Source organism: Homo sapiens, chromosome 1 (genome assembly GCF_000001405.40).
Source record: "Homo sapiens chromosome 1, GRCh38.p14 Primary Assembly".
Taxonomy (NCBI): domain Eukaryota; kingdom Metazoa; phylum Chordata; class Mammalia; order Primates; family Hominidae; genus Homo; species Homo sapiens.
This window is the reverse complement of record NC_000001.11, coordinates 193,242,485-193,265,139: the sequence shown is the minus strand read 5'-3', so window position 1 is coordinate 193,265,139 and position 22,655 is coordinate 193,242,485. Positions and strand designations below refer to the sequence as shown.

The following is a 22,655-nucleotide window of genomic DNA, read 5'->3' as shown; positions in this document are numbered from 1 at the left end:
TTAATACCTGAATATATGCTCAACATCTTTAGCTGTTAGAGACGAATTAAGACCATGATGCTAAATCACTAAACACCCATTAGAACAAGTAAAAAACATTTTTTTAATCCTGACAATATTAAATGCTGGTGAGGATTTGGAGAAACTACATCTCTCATACATAGCTAATAAGAATGTACAGTGGTACAGTCATTCTGGAAAATAATTTGGCAGTTTCTTAAAAGAAAAACAATCATACAATACCATACAACCCAGCAACTGCATTCTTGGGCTTTTCTCCCAGCAAAATAAAAACATATGCCTACAAATTCATGTGTACATGAATGTTCATAGCATCTTTACTTGCCACAGTCAAAACTTAGAAACAATCCAAACGTCCTTCAGTGGGTGAATGGTTAAACAAACTGTGGTACATTCATATCATGGAACATTACTCAGAAATAAAAAGGAACAACCATTGACACATGCAACAACTTGGATGATCTTCAAGGGAATTACGGTGAGTGAAAAAACCCATCTCAATGGTTACATGCTATACGATTTCAATTATATTCTCAAAATAACAAAGTTACAGAGATGGAGAACAGATTAGCTGCTTGTCAACAGTTAGGAATGCCGTGATGACAAAAGGAGGAGAGGAGGTTTGGTGTGACTATGAGGTAGCACAAGGGATCTTTGTGCTGACAGAACAGTTCTGCATCTTGTTTGAGGTTATACAAATCTACTCCTGATAAAAGCACATAAAACCACAAAGACACAGACACACATGCACACAAGGGCATGTAAAACTGGTGAAATCTGAATAAGGTTTGTAGATTGTACCAATGTGCTGGTTTTGATATGATATACCATGCTGTATCATGTTATGTAAGATGCTATCATTGGGAGAAACTAGGTGAAGGGCAACTGGGGCCTCTCTGTCCTGTTTTTGCAACTTCTTATGAATCTATAATTATTTCAAAATAAAAAGTTTAAAAAAAAATGACCTCCAATCCAGTGGCGTCACTTTTAGGAATTTATCCAGGATACACTCATACATAGGTACAAAGAAGTATACACATGAATGTTCACTGCAACCCTGTTTATAATGGCAAAAAGACTATACTCAACCCAGACTCTCTCCAGTGTTGGCACAGCCATAGGTTGACAGGGTATGCAGCCAGTTAAAAGGAACAAGACATTTACTGTATAATGAATGCTTACCTCAATTAAAACATTTTTTTAAAGAAAACAATGATTTCCAAGATATACTATTAAGGGGATAAAGTAAGACACAGAGGAATACTAATATCTGTGTTAGAAAGAGAGGGAAAGAGAGAGAGGTATTTATACATCAGATACCTGGAAAGGTCCCAGGAATCTGAACATAGTAATTACCTCTAGAAAGAGAAACTGGGTGCCCTTTGAATTTTGTAGCTTATGAATAAATCAATATTCATTAATCTAAAGATTCCCACTACCACCACCACTGGTTTCGTACTCAGGTCAGTCACCAAGACTTTATCAAATCTCTCTCTCTCTGGTTTCCACAGGATTACTTTGCCACAATGGTGTTTTCCTCTTTATGCTCCTCCTAACACTGTATATATTAATGTAAACCACAGCTCTAACACGTGACCCTTCCTGATACAATATGCCTTCTAGGACATAGTTTATTCACCACTCTGAAAGAAATCTCTCATGAGCAGCATACCCCAACGTATCAGTCAGGATCCAATCAGGAGGGAGATAGAAACCACACAGGAGGGAGATAGAAACAAATCACTAGGCATTTGTTTGTTTTTTTCTATAAAATCTAGATTCTGCACAAACTAGTAATTTGAATAGAGAAAATTAAATATAGAAAATTGTTAATAAAAGATGGTTTACTAAAAGTTATAAAGAAGATTCTAACGGGTACGGAAATAACAAAGGGAGAAAGAATACTAAGAACTCATGAGTCACTCCCCAGCACTATTCCAGGGCTGAGACTCAGAACTCTTTGGAGAGGGCATAGTTGCCACAGGAACTTGGGCTGTAGATGGAAGAAATTTACCAAGGGGAAAGGCCAGAGCTGATCGAATCAGAGCACCTCACCCGGTAGAAGAATCACTGGAGGTTCTGGGTAGGCCAAAGGTGTTCTGTAGGGACATTTTACCAGGCAGCAGAGAAACTTGAAAGGAAGGTGTGGGCCACCCTTACGAAGGTTGTTGAGGTGAGACTGACCTTCTGCAGGCCAATCTGCTGGCAGCCAATCAAATAACAGCACACCAGAACCAGAAAGAGAAGCCTATTCCCCTTGCTATTGCCTTACTGTGTCCCTCCAATGAAAAAGCCTAACACTGAACCTGCTCACAAAGGAGAAACCTGTACAAGCATCGAGTTTCAACACTGCAAAGCAAGGTGTACCTTAGAGCTCACAGATAACAAATTGATAACTGGTACACCCCACTATTTTGAAGATGAATTACAGTGCGGTGATTACTATAATTTAATGGTGTGCTGATGTTATAAAAGTATGGAAGAGGGAAAAAGTGAATTTTTAATTACTCCTTACTAGATATTGCTATGACTACTTAGTCTTCCATATATATTTGTGTGTGTGTTCATTTCTTCAGATACAATCTGTGATCATCCCCATACAAGTAGATTTCAAGATTTTGTAGTATATGTGTGGAAAATAAATATCTGATTTTCATAAATCAATGAGAACATGGATAACATTGATGTAAACACATCTTTGCTCAATTAGCTTTAAGAGCATTAATTCTGGTCTATTTTTTTTTCTCATATGGGATAATACTAACAATGGCAAATACCTTATGCTGTTCATAATGTGAAGAATCACAAAAACACACATCTGTTATTTGATATGTACAAACTAAGGTAGATTTCACAGATGTGAATTTGAGCTGACTCTTGAAGGGTAAGAACACATTCCAGGCAGGGAAAGAAACATTTACAGAGGTATGGAGATGCGAAAAGGAATGGTGTGTTGAGAGGCTGCAAAAGAATGTATGTGGCGCTCACGTCTTTGGGAGGGAAGGATTAGATGAGGCTGAAAGATAATTAGGCCTTAGGTTTTCTCAATCTTGTTAAATTTGTAGATCCCAAGGCTATAACCCACAAAGGCCTATTTAGTAAATTTGGGACGGGGCCAAGGAATCTGCATTTTAATCACACACCTACCATTGGATGCTAATGCTCATGACCCACACAAGACAAATACTGTATAAAAAGATTTTTACTTAGTACTATAGGTCTCCAAAGTAAGGCACACACACCTCAGGGAACATGCAAGATAATTCAGTGGGATGCTAGAAGAAGATGTTAAAATACATATTTGTATTTAAATTCAACTTTATTAATAGTTAATATATGGGTACAGATGGCTTCATCTGATCTGTATATAAGGTGAGGGGAGAATAAGACCTGACAGTGAAGCCTTATCCCCTCGCATCCAGCATACCATGACAGATAACAGTTTACAGATGCCACACAAAATGGAAAGTGGCACAAAAAGATTTCTAGGAAAAAAAAAATCAATAGATTAAAAGATAACAGTAATAATGCAAGCATATGGGAACAAGGAAATGGCAGAGTTAACCCTTCCCCTAAACCTGTATTAGCTCTTTGCCAAATTACAAGGACAAAAATTATAAAATCAGATGACCAGAAGTCTGTGAATACTTTTAGAAAAAAGTTTGTGCCACGTAAAGAACATTTTGAAACATCTTGAATATTAAAAACATTGTATTTTGTGCTTTTGTGGCTGCAAACATATTACCTACCAAAACTTTTTTATCTTCACAATATAACAACTTAGAAATAATTTCCTGACCTATTTAAAAATCTCCATAACCTCAAAAGAAGTTGTTTTAAAAAATATTCCAAAGGGCTTTAGTGGCTTTTAGAAAGCTACTTGTTAAAAATATGTAAGTTCTGATTAGTTGCAAGAACAAATGTTGTTCTTCCATGAAGGCAAACATTTGTTGTCACTAGGGTTGTGAAATTTAGAATGCTTTCACTCACTCTACTCCTCTGGCTCAGCTGTCACTTCTAAGTTTTGCTAAGATAGCTTACTTTAGTACTGATAGTTACTAGTGTGAGATTTTTCCATGTATTATCTTTTCTGCTTGAAGATTACTTAACACTTATGTTATAAATACCCAGTCACTCTATCAGAGAATACAGGCCTTTGTTATAATTTGCTGTCTGTTTAAAGTTTTTAAGTTATTTTCCTTATGTGAAGTTATACACATACAGATATATCATTTGGATCATTACATATCCTCAAGATGAATGATCTTACCTGAAAAAGGGATTCTTGGTTGCATTCTAAAGTCTAGAGATGTCATTTTCTTTTTCCTTTGTAAATTCCTCTTTTTACCCTGAAATTCAAGAATTTGAATATCTCCTCCATGTTTAATAGCATCTCAAACTCAACATTCCGAAACTAAATTGATTCCTCCAGCTGCTACCACTGCAAAATCTGATCCTTACACAATCCTCCCCATCACAGTATAAACAGAAACTCCATCCTGTTACTGAGGGGAAAAAAAAAAAAAAGAAGTGTTTTTGATTTGTATCTCACACATTGTAATCCTATCCATCTACTTTCAAAATATTTACAGAATCTCACCATTTGTTTTACTCCACTGATACCACACGGGTCCAAGCCTGTGTCATTTCTTGTCTATATTGTTGCAATATCCAATGATCTGGTGTCCTAGCTTCTGCCTTTGCTACCAACAAGAAGGTTGAGTCAATTACTCTTAAATCACGTATCACTCCTCTGCTTACAGCTCCTCAAATGGCTTCCCATATGTATCAGCAAATTAAAGCCAAAAAGGCTTCCATTCATCTACAAAGCTCCGTAATCTTGTTCACTACTGCCTCTGCCCTCATTGCTCACTCTTCTTGCTCCCTCCACACTAGCCAAGTGGATTCCTTAATGGTCCTTTAAATGGCAGGTATGTTCCTGCCTGCCTTAAACCTCCTGTTCCCTATCTGGAATGCTGCTCCCCCTGCCCTTGCTCTCCCCCCACCACCACATATTTACCACACTAGATACCTCACTTCAAATTGCTGATCAAATATCTTATCTGAGATGTCTCTGACCATCCATATAAAATAGTAAATCCTGCCACTACCTTATCCCAACATAGCCTAGTCACTCTACTATGCTTTATTTTTTTTTTTGTATTACTTATTACCACCTGAGACATATTTATTCATTTACTTCCTTCCACCCAATAAAGGAACTAACATTGCTTTGTTCACCCTGTATTCCCAGCAACTAAAACAGTACTTGTCACTGCAGGAAGTAACAATAAATATTTGAATGAAATTTATCTGCCTAGGTGTGTCCCCACACTCCAACCCCACCCATGTTGCTTGGAACCTATTAGAGTGAGAGCCCTTTCGAACTAAAGTTTCCTATAGTATTTAGTAATTGTGCCCTCCTGTATCGTTTCCCTTTTTCTCCTTGTGGTTCTTCACTTACTCACATTAAATATCTTAGACTCGTCTTCTAGGTGTTTTGATTTTTGAAATCTCCGTGTCTTTGGATTTTTACTTTTCCAAAGATAACTACTTCTACATGATATCCAAGGCCACTATTTAGTCCCCAATAGTGGCCATGCCTCTCTTTTTCTACCACATTTTAATGTAGTTTAATTGCTAGAAAGTTTATTTTATACTGACTGAATTTTCTCAGGTGCTTTTTCAAAATTAAAGTTGTCATTCATCTCCACCAGCAATTCTTTTTCACCATCCATTTCTTCTGTGTTCCTGTTCTCTCTAGATGCTATTTTTCTTTAGGTTTCCTTAGATATTCTTCTTTGTCCACTCACTCCCCATTTAGCATAAATCAAATTGTGGGATACTCTTGAGCGGAAACAAACTTGTGAGCAATAGAAGGCAGCTCTCTTCTGTAGGCTGATTATCTACTAACCAGCAAGTTGCCACTCCTCATCACAGATGACAGGAGGAAAATCTCTTCCAATGTCTTTTTTGTTTTTTTGCTATTTACTTCCCCTCCCCCAGCCTCACAGGGAGATGTGGAATTGTGCCCACCATGCAGCAACCAAACAGGTACTCTGAAGCTAGTCTTCCTAGTACCATACATATGAACTGCACCGCTTTTCCTCTAAATCCATGTATCTTTGAAAGCAAGGTTCTTTCCGTTCAGACCTTTGCTGAAGGCTTCACAGCTGCCCGTCTCTAAACCTTCATCTGGATTACAGGAAGAAAATCAAAGCAAGCTCTCTTTCCCATCTTCTGGTAAAATCAAGGGACTGTATACACTCTTATTTGCCCAAAGGCTCCAGGCTCACAGCAGCTGCTCTATTCAAGACAGGGTAGTTGGCAGATGGAAACAGAGATTGAGGGGAGGGAATTTAAGATACATAATCAAACCATCTCCCTAGAACCTGTTTACCATGAAAGATGTAACTAAGTTTAAAAGTGGGTGGAAAATAAATAAATACAGGGTGACAAGATGAAAATACAAGAAAGAGATACAGTAATAGTGCAAAATGCATGACAGAGTAGGAAAGGTGTAGGAGAAATACATATGAAGGACAAGTCCCTGATGGGTGACAGGATGTTTAAAACACTGGAATACGAGGAAATAAAAGATTCTTACATGCATACAGGTTTGTGACATATAGCATTAAGAAGTCCATGGCTTCTGTTTCCTCTGTCATGAAAAGGTGAGGTCACTTCTGGGTGAAGAAAGTGTAAAGCTGGGTCATAGCTGGATCATAACATCTAAGGAACTGGCAAGGGAGTGAGTGAGAACGAAAAACTCAACATCAATCGCCAAAAAAGAAAAGGTAAACAACTTCATGCTTGCTAACATGGAAATGGATTTGGGTAAGATCTAGATAAAGTTCAGAATAGCATCTAACCATCTCACTGTAGGCAAAGAAAATTCACAACCTCCCAAGAATTCTCCCCTAAAACCCAGAACAAAGCAAACTGAGGAAATCAGCCAGCCCATAGAAAAGTCAAAGAAAAATCCTCAAGAATGAAAATGCTTTCCTACCACACTAAAATCTCCAGGGATTCCTTTTAGCCAGCCACCCACCATTGGGAACTGCTCAGGATATTCTCTCTTAGTAATGAATTGCACATACAACTGGGGGAAGTGACCCCCCAACTGGGGCAAGTGACCCCAGCACTTAATGAAACCTTAGAGGGCATAGCTCAGATTTTCCAACAAAGGTTTTAACCACTTTCAGTATCATTAAGCGACAAAAGTAGCAAAGAATACAAGAACTAGCCTCACATGAGAGCAAACTTAGAAAACAAGACTCAGAGGGTGGGAAGGCTGTCAATAGTGTCTTAGTAAAAGTCTTCATCATCTGGGCTAATGGGACAAGTATGTAATTCTTTAACAATTTGGATGTTGGAGAAAGGCACTGAAATGATCTATACCTTTAACATTTTATTAATTCATCTTTAAATATATTTTCATCTTTAAATATTCATCTTTAAATATCTAATCAAAGTTTTTAAAGCATGGATCCTGTAAAGCTAATGCCAACCAGTCACCGGTTACCTTCTCCTTGTTGCCATCTTTCTTCTCACTCCTATGCTTGTCATTCTCATTTCAACACTTACACGAGTAATTGCAGCCCCATAGATCCTTGACTCCTCATTTTAATGAATACCTCACCCTCTCTATCTCAGTTACTTCCAAGGTCTTGACTTTTTCTCATCAATATCAGATCACCTCTGAAGTCTTGACTTCACACATCCCATCCTCTGACCACCTCCCCCTATCTTTCAGGCTCACTTCATTGTTGTTATCAGTTCACAGGACAGCACCACTTTCTCACCATTCACCACCTTCCCTCTATCATGTATTCCTTGAACAGCTTAGATTCCATGTTTCAGTACTACAATTATTACCTTGAAAATATCTCCAACTCCCTGGCCTGCTTCTACTGCCATCAAAATAGCTTAAAAATCTAACTGCAATTCTCTATACCTGAAATCAAGCAACTAAATGTCACTGGAGAAAAATCACACTAGGTTTGCCTAGCTTTTCTTAAATTCATGACAACCCCAGAAGCATATAACGCTGTCCAAATTAGTATTTTCCCATTAAGCTGAAGTCGTCTTCTCCTCAAATTCCTACATCAAACTGCTTTAGCCTTAAACTACTTTAATGCATCTCAAATTTATTTCATCATCAGTGACCCTTACACTTCCTTTTTGTCCTCAGTAGTGCATTATGGAATAAAAATATATTATCTAAAAATATAAATATTTTAAAATTGTGATATAGTCAAGCCCTTTAAAAACATTAGTGATGCTTAATTGTGCTAAAACAACTGAATGAGCCACAAGGAAGTTCACTTGATCTCCCCCCATTTACACTGACTCGATAAACACTTTCAAACTATTCCATTTTAAAGAAAAATGTTTGTATTATTAAAAAGAGAGAAATAGATGGCCATTACACTTAGAGTATTAACATTGTGAACTCCATGAAGGCAGTTCTTCTGTGAGTATCCATTACTATATTTTATTAAAGTGAATATGTTGTATAACCCAATGTTTTGACTTGTACTTTGTTGGCAAAATAATCATAGTCCAATAAAATATCCAAATGTAATCAAAAGTATCTCCCAAATGTCTTCTGCTTCACTATGGTCTCAGCTCTATTTACATTACTTATGTAATAGAAATCATCATTCTCTAGATGAGGGTGAATTATAAACTATAAATAATTCTGTGTCAAAGGATCCACAAGTAATTATGAGACAGATTCAACAACAAAGCCTTCTTCAGAGCTACTTTACATTGTTTTCTAGGGTCATTTAAGAAAATAAAGAGGAAAAATTATTCCAACTCACCATAAATGCTGATAATTACATGAGTAAATATGAAAGTACTTCAGAAAATGAAAGAAAAAATGCTTATTTGGCAATGTGCTGTTATTTATATACTAGCACCTTTGAGCCTTAAAAAAATTCAACAGCATTTACAACACATGCTATATCTATTTTAGCTATGCAGATGCTCACTGAAAAGCAGATAATCAAAGGAACAGAACAGCAGAAATAAAATACATATTTAGTGGGCACTTATGAATTGAATAAAAATTAGGTTTGAATATAGCCCATTAAACTCATCATTAAAGAAATTTTGTTGCAGAAGATTCACAATTATTGGTACCACTGACATGATGCTGCTGTTAATGCTCTGATTATATGAGTACAGTTTGTTTTGAAACTACAAAATGTTAAAATCAGAATGCTCAAACTGTGAAGGTAATGTAATTTACCAGGACACACTCTTAATTCTACTATAATAATAACATAGAAAATTTGACCATAATCAAACAGTAAGTTCAGCAGAGCATGAACTTGCTACCATTACGAACTATGATTCTATACATTATTTAACTCGTTAACAGAAACTGTAAATGGTTTTAACTCATTAGTTTCCAAAGTGAAATTTATATTTCATTTATTCCTCAGAGAAATACTATGCCTGACAAATCCCAATAATCTTTTCATGTAAAGATAGCATTCCAGCCCACAATACAGCTTCTAACTTCTTCGTATGAATGTTTTTGGGGGATTGAGGACAAAGGGAGAATGGAAATGTCCCTAGTGCTCTTAAAACAAAATAGGGCAACATGTTTTATTTACAATTGAACCTAAAATTTAAGAGCCCACCAAACTGGAATCAGAATGAACAGAACAGGCCAGGCATGGTGGCTCACGCCTGTAATCCCAACATTTTGGGAAGCCGAGGCAGGTGGATCACCTGAGGTCAGGAGTTCAAGACCAGCCTGGCTAACATGGTGAAACTCTGTCTCCACTAAAAAATACAAATATAGCCAGGTGTGGTGGTGCACACCCATAATCCCAGCTACTCGGGAGGCTGAGGCAGGAGAACTGCATGAACCCAGGAGGTGGAGGCTGCAGTGAGCCAAGATCGCAGCACTGCACTCCAGCCTGGGTGACAGAGTGAGACTCCATCTCAAAAACAAACAAAGAAAAACAAACAGAATGAAAAATAAAACAAAGAAAACAAAACAAAGAAAAACAAAAAGAATGAGTAGAATATTTTATGAGTTCACATGGCACCCAAACTTAAACTCTAATTAAGAACCACTTTGAGAAACAGCACCAACTGGTGGTTAAAAAATCACTTACAGCACTTACTCTATGTACATGAACTGCATTACTTATGAAGCATTATAATCAAACTCAGGTTAAATAGCTTTTAGTAAATTTAAAGTGGACAGAAATGGAATTCAATGGCAAACAAAATCCTCAGACAGATCATTTGCTTAAATTCGACATAGCATGAACCCCACTTTTTGAATTTTGGCAATAAAACTAGTTTTATTTCATTAGCTTTACTCATATAAAAATGCTTCCCACTTTTCAGTAAATGGCACATATTTATAACTTCCAAGATGCCCTTATAAAGATTACCTAAAATAATACACAGAAACCCAAAACACATAAAAAACCTGCAAGTATTATCTATTATATACTAACTAAATATAAATCTTTATACATCTATTATACATTTTCAATTTTTCCTTAGTTATTATTCCAACAGATATAAACAATGCTGGGATCAACATACTTGCAAATGTGCCAACAAATATGCCAGAATATATAGGACATGGCATTTCAAAATTCCCACTCCAATTCTTAACTTAAGTCAACTTTAGTCATTTCTCCACTTTTTATTTCTATCATTAGAATAGCTGGGTGAATCTCAAACACAAGTGAATAAATAGTAGAAATTCAGTCAAGTAATATTAAGGCTAATGTAATTAAATTTTCATGTTGTACTTTTTTAAAGAAACAGAGCAGCTGCCAACTTTTCAGCTGAGAACAAATTTCTATAGTTCTTATTTTATAAATTATTTCTCAGCATTCTATATGGACTTTAACCAGACAAACCAATAATTTCTTTATTAAGAATCTTTTTTTAAAAAGTATGTGTATATGAAGGGCTTTAATAAACTTCCAAAAAAATTAAAAATAAAAAATTTAAAAAGACTTATCTTACTCATAATTTTGCATTTAAACAAGCAATTTCAAAACACAAAGTTTACAGCTACTTTCTAAGCCATTAATTTGACTAGCTTTTATAAATAATTGTTGTATTTGTAATATTATAAAATATACTGCTAGTCTCAAAAAATTTTATATACTTTAGTTCAACAAATATTCCTCCCCACCCCTCCAAAAAAGAACAATGTAATCACTTTAATTTTTGTTAGCAGTCAGAAAAATTTTTATTTAGGAAAAATATTCCCTCAATATTTATTAGATAATGAATCTTATTTAAATGAATAGTTTACTTTTACTTTTCTGTGTAGACCAATTTAAAAGTATGCCACTTTCCTTTCATAAGCAAACTGTATTTGTCTCATTCTACATGGCAGATCAAAAATTAATACTTCTTTCTGCCTTAAAAATTATGAGATTTTCCTCATTATGAATTAGTTGTTTTTATATGGATTACTGTTGTGCTGCTAAAAACAAATGTTAGTAAAAGTTATGGAGACATGGGAAAAAAACAAACTATAATACTAGTTAATAATGAAATACATTAAACATTGTTTAAATATTAAACAGTAAAATACTCCTATATTAAATAAATAATTAAAAATTGCATTTGTCAATGGGAATATAGGCCAATACCACCAATAAAAGGGATGGTCTAGTGCAAAGGGTGGCCACAAAACAACAACAACAACAAAAAATCAAAAACCACACATACATACAGAAAAGAAGGAAGAGGAAACACATTTAATACTGGTACTGTTTTCAATAACAAATTAAACCAGTGATTCTGAATCCTTCCTGCACATTCAAATTACCTGGAGAACTTTAAAAAAAATACTGATGACCAGGTCTTGTCTCAAATTACATGAAAATGGGAATCAAGATTCAGGCATGGATATTTTTAAAAACTCTCCAAATGATTCTAAAATGCAGTCAGGGTTGAGAGCAACTGATTGAAACCTACATATTTCTTACTGTTCCTTGACTGAGAAGAATGTCCTATAAATATAGAAATAGAACTTTTTCCTTTACAGGTTGGGCATACAAGGGTATCTCCAGTTAGCAGTAACTTATGGAGGGGTAAGTCAAGTTATTAATTTATACTTCATTTCCATTAAAATATCTACTTATACCTCTCTTCATTCCCTGTAATTCTGTACTCTCAAACTCCAAGACCAAGAAGAGTCGAACTACACTTTTATAATAAATTTGTTACACTGAAAATACATTATTCATTCATGCATGTAAGTATTTACTGAATGCCTACTATGTGCAAGGCACTGTGTTAAGTACTGCTATATAGGACCATGTCATGGGAGAATAAATGGGAGTGGCTGAAAATTTTTGTTTTTTAGAATAAACAGCTAAAAAATAATGGAATGAAATTAATTACATGGACCTAAATAAGAGACTAAATTGTCAAAGAGGAAAAGAAAAAGAGGTGCTTATACTAAGGGTCTGATTTTAAGATAGATGGTTATAGCCTATTTGTCCTTTTCCTAATGTTCCTTTACAGTATTTCCATAAGCCTTTGAATATACATAAGGCAAATTCAAAATAGAAAAATAAACCTCATTCAAAGTAGATGTTCCTAATTTTAACCATATTCTGTCTCAAGTAAAGTTCATAAATAAGTACAAATACCAAAAATCTTTATGGGAAGGTAGTTCATACTGACTTGTAGTAGTCTTGACAAGTAATCTTACATAAAAATATTACAGATTCTGGTCCTTGACTATTTCATCATGGAGAAAGTTTACACAACATGTAATTTATTTTGGAAATATATTTATATGCTAAGAAAGCCTAATGTAAACAAATTTGAGTTTTCTTTTATCTTTAAGGAAAGAAGACGCTAAAAAGGGAGGAAAATAGGGGTAGAATCTGTTCAAACCTTGTTAAGTATGCTAAAATCTAGTAATTTAAAATGCTGACTGTTCCCTTCTGAAGAGCCTTGTAAATATCATGTGAATAAATATCTTTTCTAGTTACTAGTGGTATGAACTATGTGATCACTTAAAAAATAATAACTTCTCATTTTTGTGACAGTGTTAAATTTCATTAAGAAGCTAGATAATGTCAGCTTAATACCTATGAAAGGCCTAAACGTTCACCAAAAATATGTTAACCTAGGAGAAAATTGCTGGGAATAAAAACAGAGAAAAAAATGACATAAGACTGTGATCAGCAAAAATTCCAATGGCAAAAACACTTTAGGAAAGTAAAGCTTCCTAGTTGCCTTTAAGGAAAAAAAAAAAACAAAGTGAAATCAAGGTTCAAGGCAAATGGTCACTTGATGTACCTTGGATGCAACATTTTGTCTGAAGTAGAGAAATAGTAAAATATTTCACTAAGTTAAAATATAGTTTTTATATTTTATACCATATTGAATACAGACATAAAAATACCAGTGTTTTTCTCTTGTTTCTTTTCAGACAATTAAGCAAATGTTTTCTTTGGTGCCTGGGAGTTTATCAATATTTAGGGATAATGGAAGATAAGAACTCCAAGACTGACAAGCCTAAAATAGAAGATTCAAAATCCTATACCATAAAAATTACAATCAAAAGTGGACTAAAGAGAAAAGGAGCTTAAAGTTATACTGCAATAGGGCTGATACATATTCTTCCCCCAAATCATACTCTGGCTCCCAAAATAAAAAATACTACAGCCTATTGTGGTTTTAATCTGTGTTTTGAGATTTTTTTCAAATGGAAAGATATTACAGATAGAAACACATCATTCTAGGTTTCAAAATCACCAAAGTCAGTGAGAAGAATGTACATTCATTTAAATGTAATCATTTGTAAATAAAGAAATCTTGAAAAGGCTGAACAGTTCAATCAAATTGAAGAATTGATCTAGATTTTTCATTATTCTTTTTAAATAATGAGTAAGTGTAGATATAGTGTACATACAAGTTGACATTCTGATTCATTCAAAATAGTCACATCCCTTTGCTTGGTTTTGGATGTTCCAGAGACTAAAATTTAATACCATTCATAACATAGTATTTTCAGTAAAAAGAATTATAGAGCAATGAAAAATCAGAAGATGGCTCAGAGAGCCTTATAATCTCTAAATATACACACATTTATAACCTGCATTTATTTTCTAAAGAAACAAATTTTAAGTAATGCTAATTTAACCAATGGAGAAAAAACTTCTATCAAAATATACAATTTCCATTACAGACTAGAAGGCTAATATTAAAAAAATAGTTGTAAGCCAAAAAGTTTGCTTATATGGATGACAGGTATCATCTCCTTGAAGCACAAAGCATCAAATAAGGTCTTATAAAAGATCAATCTGTGACCTTCTTCATTTTTAAGTTCTTGATAAATTCATAAAGCTTGAGTCTCAATTTCCAGAAATGGAGGAGCCAAATAATTCAGAATCTCAAGTGCGATTTATGCTTTACCATGTACCTGAAAAAAATATTATGGTAGGTTATAATGACTATAGGAATTTTAGAATTTTTAGAATAATGCATGTAAAAACAAGTTGACATTTCTTAAAACTTAAAATCAACAGAATAAAATGCTGTTTTCTAGAAAACTGGAAATATAAAGACTCTGGAATAAGCTAGAAATAACACTCCTCTTATTAAGTAATATAATCTAAGAGCTTCTAGCTAAAATAATATATGTTTCACAGATATGAGAGACTTGCACCAAAAATGTTACAGATTTTAAGGAGCATACCTCAAAGAGAACCGATTCAGTGGTATTTACTGTGATTATAGGCTGTTCTTAAATTTGCCGATTACAAAACTGTTATTAATGTAAAGGGCTTTATGAACACTATACTAGTAATTAAAATAAATTTTAAAAAACCATTTCCTTTTGTGAACCATCCGTAACACAAATAAATCCAGAATCATAGATCTTTCAGTACTTGCAAAAAACACAGGGTTCTCTTAATCCAAAGTTCCTTGGATAGAAAATAAGGTTCAAAAAGGTCACACAGATAATTAGAGACAGATTACAAAACCAAGACTAAAGTCTAAGTCTTCTGACTCAGTTTAGTGTTACTTCTATCAGGCTAAATTCTCCAACTAAAGTAATTATACAATAAAAAATTGTTAATTATGTACTGAAGATAAGCATCAAGTTAATGTTGAAAGAAGGGAATTAGGGAATAAGACTGACAACTCTATGGAACTTAAAATTTAACTGAGACAGAAAAATTACAATAAAACACACACAAGCATATTTTAGAATCGGAATTACCTGTCCAATGTTTCCCAAAACCGTAAGAACACTGGTCTATCCAAATGACGTTTGTGATAGCTGAGTTCTAATACTGTTACATCCCATTTCTGAACATTTGGATCCAGACGAACTTCATCATACTTCAGATGGAAGGCTTTAACTATAGAGAGGGTGGAGAGAAGTTATCATTTTTACTCAAAATAAAAAAAAAGAAAAAAATTTCTTTATTCCACCAACTGAAGCCGTATTATAACTAAAGTGATCTTTTAAAATATTATCTTTAAAAACATTCAGGGTTTATACACGCCAGCCACTGGACACTAAAATGAGGAATAAGGTAAGATAAAATGCATATAGTCTAGTGAAGGACAGTAAGAAAGACTATAAGGTTGGTACGTTATCACAGAAACATAAGAGTGCAACCATACCTTGGAGATATTGTGGGTTCAGTTCCAGACCACCGCAATAAAGTATCATAATAAAATGAGTTACGCATATTTCCTGGTACCTCATTGCATTTTTATAAAAGTTACGTAGTTACGTTAACACTGTATCACAGTCTATATTACGTGTGCAATAGCATTATGTCTAAAAAACAGTGTACATCCCCTAATTAAAATGTACTTTCTTGCTAAAAAATGCTAACAATCATCTGAGCCTTTAGCAAGTCCTAATTTTTTTTGCTGGTGTAGGATTATGCCTCAATGTTGATGGCTGTTGACTGAACAGGGTGTGGTGGTTGATGAAGGTTAGGGTGGCTGTAGCGATTTCTGAAAATAAGACAACAATGAAGTTTGCTGCACTGATTGACTCTGCCTTTCACAGAAGATTTCTCTACAGTATGTGATAATATTTGACAGCATTTTACTTACAGAAGAACTTCCTTTAAAATTGGAGTTAATCCTCTCAAACTCTGCCGCTTTACTATATTTATGTCATGTTCTAAATCCTTTGTTGTCATTTCAACAACGTTTATGGCATCTTCACGAAAGTGCTCACTGGAGTGAATTCTATCTCAAAAAAACCACTTTCTTTGCTCATCTGTAAGAAGGAACTCCTCATCCATTCAAGTTCCAGCATGAGTGTGCAGCAATTCAGTCACATCTTCAAGCTCCACTTCTAATGCTAGTTCACTTGCTATTTCCACACCCTATCTTTATTTCCTCCACTGAAGTCTTGAACCCCTCAAAGTCATCTATGAACCATGAAGGTAGGAATCAACTTCTTCTAAACTTCTGGTTATGTTAATATTTTGACTTCCTCCTATTAATCACAAATGTTCTTAATGGCATCTAGAATGGTAAATCTTATTAAATTAAAAAGTTTCAATTTACTGTTCCCTGATCCATCAGAGGAATCACTATCTATAGCAGCTAAAGCCTTACAAAACTTATTTCTTAAATAATAAATCTTGAAAAGTCTAAATCACTCCTTGATCTATGGGCTGAGGAATAGATGTGTTAGTAATCATGAAAACAACATTCATCTCCTTGAACACCTTCATCAAAGCTCTTGCATGACTAGGTACATTGTCAATCAGCACTAATATTTTGAAAGGAATCTTTATTTCTGAGCAGTAGGTCTCAACAGTGGCCTTAAAATATTCACTGAACCCTGCTGTAAACAGTGTTGTCATTCACGCTTTTTTGTTCAATTTCTAAAGCACAGGCAGAGTAGACTTAGCATAATTCCTAGCGGCCCTAGGATATTTAGAATGTTAAGTGACCACTGGTTGCAACTCAAAGTCCCCATCTGTATTAGCCCCTAACAAAAGAGTCAGTCTGTCCTCTGAAGTTTTGGAGCCAAAGCACAGCCTTCTCTGCAACTATAAAAGTACCAGATGGATCTTCTTCCAATAACAGGCTGTTTCATCTACGATGAAAATGTGTTGTTTAGTGTAGTCAACTTCATCAATAATATTCACTGTATCTTCTGGATAACTTGCTGCAGCTTCTTTATCAGCACTTGCTGCTTCACCTTACACTTTTATTTTATAGAGATGGCTTACTTCCTTAAATCCATGAACCATCTACTGCTACCTTCCAACTTTTCTTCTGCAGAATTCTCTCCTCTCTCAGCCTTCACAGAACTGAAGAGAGTTAGGGCACTGCTCAGGATCAGGCTCTGGCTTAGCAGAATATTATGGCTGGTTTGATCTGCTTTCCATACCAATCAAGCTTTCCCCATATCAGCAATAAGGTTGTTTTGCTTTCTTATTATTTGTGTGTCGACTGGAGTAGCACTTTTAACTTCCCTGAAGAAGTTTTCTTTTGCATTCACAACTTAGCTGTTTGGCATAATAGACCTAGCTTTTGGCCTGTCTCAGCTTTTGACATGCCTTCCTTACTAAGCTTAATCATGTCTAACTTTTGGTTTAAAATGAGAGATGTGCAACTCTTCCTTTCATTTAAACACTTGGAGGTCACTGTAGGGTTATTAATAGGCTTAATTTCAATACTGCTGTGTCTCAGGAAAAAGAGAGGCCTGAAGAGAGAGAGAGAGAGAGATGAGGGACTAATTGGTCAGTGGGGCAGTCAGAACAACAGTTATCAATCTAAGTTTGCCATCTTATATGGGTGTGGTTTGTGGTGCCCAAAACAATTTTAATAGTAACATCAAAGATCACTAGTCCCATATCACCATAACAGATACAAAAATAATGAAAGTTTGAAATATTGTAAAAATCACCAATACGAAAGGGACACACACTGTTGGACAATTGGTGCCAATAGACTTATCAACACACAAGGTTGCCACAAACCAATTTGTTCACAAAAAAAAATTCTGCAAAGCCTGATAAAGCAAAGCACAAAACAAGCTATGCCTTGTACCTTACACGCACAAATTCAGTCAAAAACCTTGCAAAGGCACTGATGTCTAACCTAAGATCTAAAGGCCAAGTACGAATTAAGCGAGCACAGAACAAAAGTGACCTAGTGAATAAGCTGATCATGCTGAAAGAGAAAATGGATTAGTCTAGAAACTAGAGAAAGTTAATAGAACTGCATCGTGCAAAATAATGTAGGGAAGGGATATATACAGCACAGAGGTTCAGAAAAATGTTAGGCTTGCAGGCCATATTAAGTAGTTTTTATAATATTTAAGTGACATGGACAATCACTGCAAAGTATTTAGTAGAGAATAATTATAGTTTATTAAGCTAGAGGATAAAGAGATTTTTCTTCAATAGAACAGAATATATATGGGTGGCAAGAGAAAAGTGGGGAATGAAAACTAACAAAATTTGGTAAGAAATGATGAAGAGAAAAAAACTGCTAGGAATTTTGGTGGTTTTTTTGATAGCTACTATAAATGGGATTGCCTTCTTGATTTCTTTTTCAGCTAGTTCACTGTTCATGTACCACAGTGCTAGTGGTTTTTGTATGATGATTTTGTATCCTGCAATTTTACTGAATTCATTTACCAGTTCTAAGAGTATTTTTGGTAAAGTCTTCAGGTTTTTCTAAATATAAGATCATGGCATCTGCAAACAAGAACAATTTAACTTCCACTGGGGAAAAGACAGTCTTCAATAAATGATGCAGGGAAAACTGTATATCTCTATATACAGAAGAATGAAACTAGATTCCTACCTCTCACCCCATACAAAATCAACTCAAGACCTAAATATAAGACCCCAAATTATAAAATTACTAGAAGAAAACATAGAGAAAACACTTCAGGACACTGGTCTGGGAAAAGGCTTTATGAATAAAAGCACTGACAACAAAAACAAAAATAAACAAATGAGATTATATCAAACTAAAAAGCTTCTGCACAGTAAAGGAAACAACCAACAGAGTGAAAAGACAACCTAAAGAATGGGAGAAAATATCTGCAAATTACTCATCTGACAGGGGATTAATAATCAGAATATACTAGAAACTTAAAAATTTCAAAGCATAAAAAATCAGATTTTATAATGTGGAAATGATCTAAACAGACATTTCTCAAAAGAAGACACAAAAATAGTCAACAAATATATTAAAATATGCTCAATGTCACTAATCGTCAGGAAATCCAAATCAAAACCACAATGAGGTATCATCTCACTCCAGTTAGGATGGCTATTATACAAAAGACAAGAAAATACCAAATGCTCCAGAGGATGTGGAGAAAGGGCAACTCTTATACATTGTTGGTGGGAATATAAACTAGTAGAGCCACTATGGAGAATAGTCTAGAGTTCTCAAAAAACTACCAAGAGAACTACCATATGATCCAGCAACCTCATTAATGGGCATTTATCCAAATGAAAGGAAATGAGTATACTGAAGAGATATCTGCACCCCCATGTTTAATGCATTCTATTCACAGTCCTATTAACAACAGCAAAGATATGTAATCAACCTAAGGGTCCAACAACAGATAAATGGATAAAGAAAATGTGGCATACATGTACACAATAAAATACTATTCAGCCATAAAAAAATGAAATCCTGTCATTTGTGGCAACATAGATGGAAATGGAGGACATTATGTTAAGTGAAACAAGCCAGAAACATAAAGTTAAACACCACAAGTTCTCTCTCATATGTAGAAGCTAAAAAAAAGTTGAACTCATAGAAGTAAAAAGTGCAACAGAAAATACTATTGGCTGGGAAGAGTAGGGGGTAGGGGGAATACAGAGAGATTTGTTATGACTGGATAGAAGAAATAAGTTCGAGTGTTCCACACCACTATAGGATTATAGTTAACAATAATACATAGTTTCAAATAGCTAGAAGGAGGAAACTGACTATTCCCAAAACAAAGAATGATAAACATTTGAGATGATAGCTATGCTAATTATGATAACCTGATAACTATACATTGTATGTATCAAAATATCACTATGTACCCCATAAATATGTACAATTATATGGCAATTTAAAAAGTTAAACTAAAAAATTATAATCAAAGATATATCTAACATACATTGTCTACTACACATTATGCATTATTGTAGGCACTAAAGACACATAGTGACCAAGACAAAGTCTCCACCCTAAGGGAGTTTATATTCTAAGAGTCAACAGTTTAACAGATAAATATACAACACTCAGGTAGTATAAATGCTACTGAGGAAAAATAAGGCAGAATAAGGACATAATACACGTGTGGAAGGTTTTTGTCAATAGTATTTAGAGAGGGGTTCTCAAGATTATCTAGAAGCAGGTAATTGAAAAAACAAGTCTTGCAAAGATTTGGGAGAGGAAGATTTTAGGCAGAAGGAACAGCTGACACAAAGATTCCAAGATGGAAGCAAGCATGGAATGTCCTATGTTGAAGAATAATTTTTTTAAAAAATGTTAAAAAACGTTACACTTGCTACTTTGTTTGTTTGGTTGGTTGTTCAGTTTGAGACAGGGTCTCACTATGTAGGCCAGGGCCTCAAACTTCTGGGCTCAAGTGACCCTCCTGGCCCAACCTCTCCAGCAGCTGGGACTGCAGGCACATACCACCACAACCAGCTTCAGTTTAACTTTCTTTGTAGGCAATAGCCTATATATACATTCTCAGCTACAGTGTAAAAAATCTGATTTTTATTCCACATGTGATAGTAAGCCACTGGAAAGTTTACAAGAAGAAGGTGAAATTATATGATTGCCATTTTTAAAAGACAACTCTGGATTGTTCGGCAGGTGATATAATCTAGGGCAAAATTTCCCAACTAGTTGTACTAAAAACAGGTAGGTTATAAAATAATGATTTACAATCTTTTTCTCTCCTTAATAATCAAGTTGAATCATCCCAGCTAGTTTATCATTATATCTGCAATCCCTTTATTATCAAGGGAGCTTTTGTTTTGCATGTGCATGTACAAATGTTAAGCTTTTTCCCCCCAATTTTTTACTTTTTCACTAGCATATGATTATGATCAGTATCAACCTGGTATAAGAGGTTTTAAAGAGAAAACAATTGACTTTTAAAGTTTTTTCTGATAGCTATTTTATGGATTGCTTGTTTCATATTGCTTGCTAGCATATTGGCTTTTGATGTTAACAACTAATCAAGATTCAATTCTTAATAAACATTTAAAATGAATAATTTGTGCCCAGAAAAATAAACTTATTTCTAATTTATTTGCTTTTATAAATAAAAGTCTCTTCATCAGACATAAATTATTCATTTTGAATTTAATCAAATTCATTAAAGGGGCTACATGTAATAACATTCAAGAAACTTACTTTCAAAGTAGTATTCATGTGTAAAATAAATTTGTCAATTAAAAAAAATTTAAAACTCATGCATTCAGTGTAAATCAACATTTTAATCATTTCCATTCTGCTTAGGTGTTGCTTTTCTAACTTGTTCAACTATTTGCTAATCATTCTTCAGAATGCATCTAAGTTACATTTTTTAAAATGATCAAACTGAAGCCATAATGGCCTACAGTCTTCTTTAATAATTTCAACAGATTTCATCTTTATTGATATTTATTTTTCCACCAGAATAGACAACTTTTAAATTTAAAGCTAGGATACTAGAGTCCAAAAAGTGTAAGTCACTAATTTTTAAAAACATATAAAGTTTCACTCATACTTTATTCGCATGAAGCAATGATGCGAAACAAACTTACACCAACATATTATCATTAAAAAAAATCTTTCCTATTCAGAAAAAGTATTAAAAGTTTTTAAGCCTCTGGAAGTTAAAAACAAGAAGTAAGCTGGGCACGGTGGCTCACGCCTGTAATCCCAGCACTTTGGGAGGCCAAGGAGAGCGGATCCTGAGGTCAGGAGTTTGAGACCAGACCAACATGATGAAACCCCGTCTCTACTACAAATAGAAAAATTAGCCAGGCATGGTGGCGTGCACCTGTAATCCCAGCTACTCAGGAGGCTGAGGCAGGGGAACTGCTTGAACCTGGGGGTTGCAGGGAGCCAAGATTGCACCACTGCACTCCAGCCTGGGCAACAGAGCAAGACTCCATCTCCAAAAAAAAAAAAAAGAAGAAGAAGAAGAAGAAAAAGAAATAAAGTTCTTTTGTAAGAAGCCAGTTTTACCGCAGCACAATGAATTACAACTGCAAAATATTTCACACAACTCAGAATTGCTTGTTTTTGCAAACTTCATGAATGCTGCCAACATTTTTTGGGGAAAGCAACAAAGCAAAAGAGATCAAAGAGGTGCCCTTTTAATATTTAGATATACTGATCGCATGACAAATGATAAAGGGATAATACAGAAGATTATTAAATAAAAATATTTTTTCAATGGTAGCTAGCAATAATTTGAAGACATTTATCATTAAAAATATCTTGAGAGGGGCTTCAAGATAGCTAACTAGAGGCATCTGGCACCTGCCTCCTCCAAAAAGAAGAACCACCTTCTGTAAGTTACCAGGAGGGTCAACAAACAAAAAGAACCAAAACAGTGAGTAGATAATCACACTTTGAATAGATGATCTAAGAGAGTGCAC

The 22,655-nt window shown here is 34.7% G+C and overlaps 1 protein-coding gene across 1 annotated transcript in view; it reads right to left on the bottom strand.

Moving 5' to 3' along the window:
• CDC73 (cell division cycle 73) overlaps positions 10,325 to 22,655 on the bottom strand; it is a 132,785-nt gene continuing 120,454 nt past the window's right edge. The window contains exons 16-17 of the mRNA NM_024529.5: positions 15,269 to 15,410; positions 10,325 to 14,464 (exon numbers count right to left, since the gene is read on the bottom strand). Coding sequence (NP_078805.3) covers positions 14,428 to 14,464; positions 15,269 to 15,410 — 179 coding nt within the window. The 3' untranslated portion in view covers positions 10,325 to 14,427. The remainder of the gene's footprint in view (positions 14,465 to 15,268; positions 15,411 to 22,655) is intronic.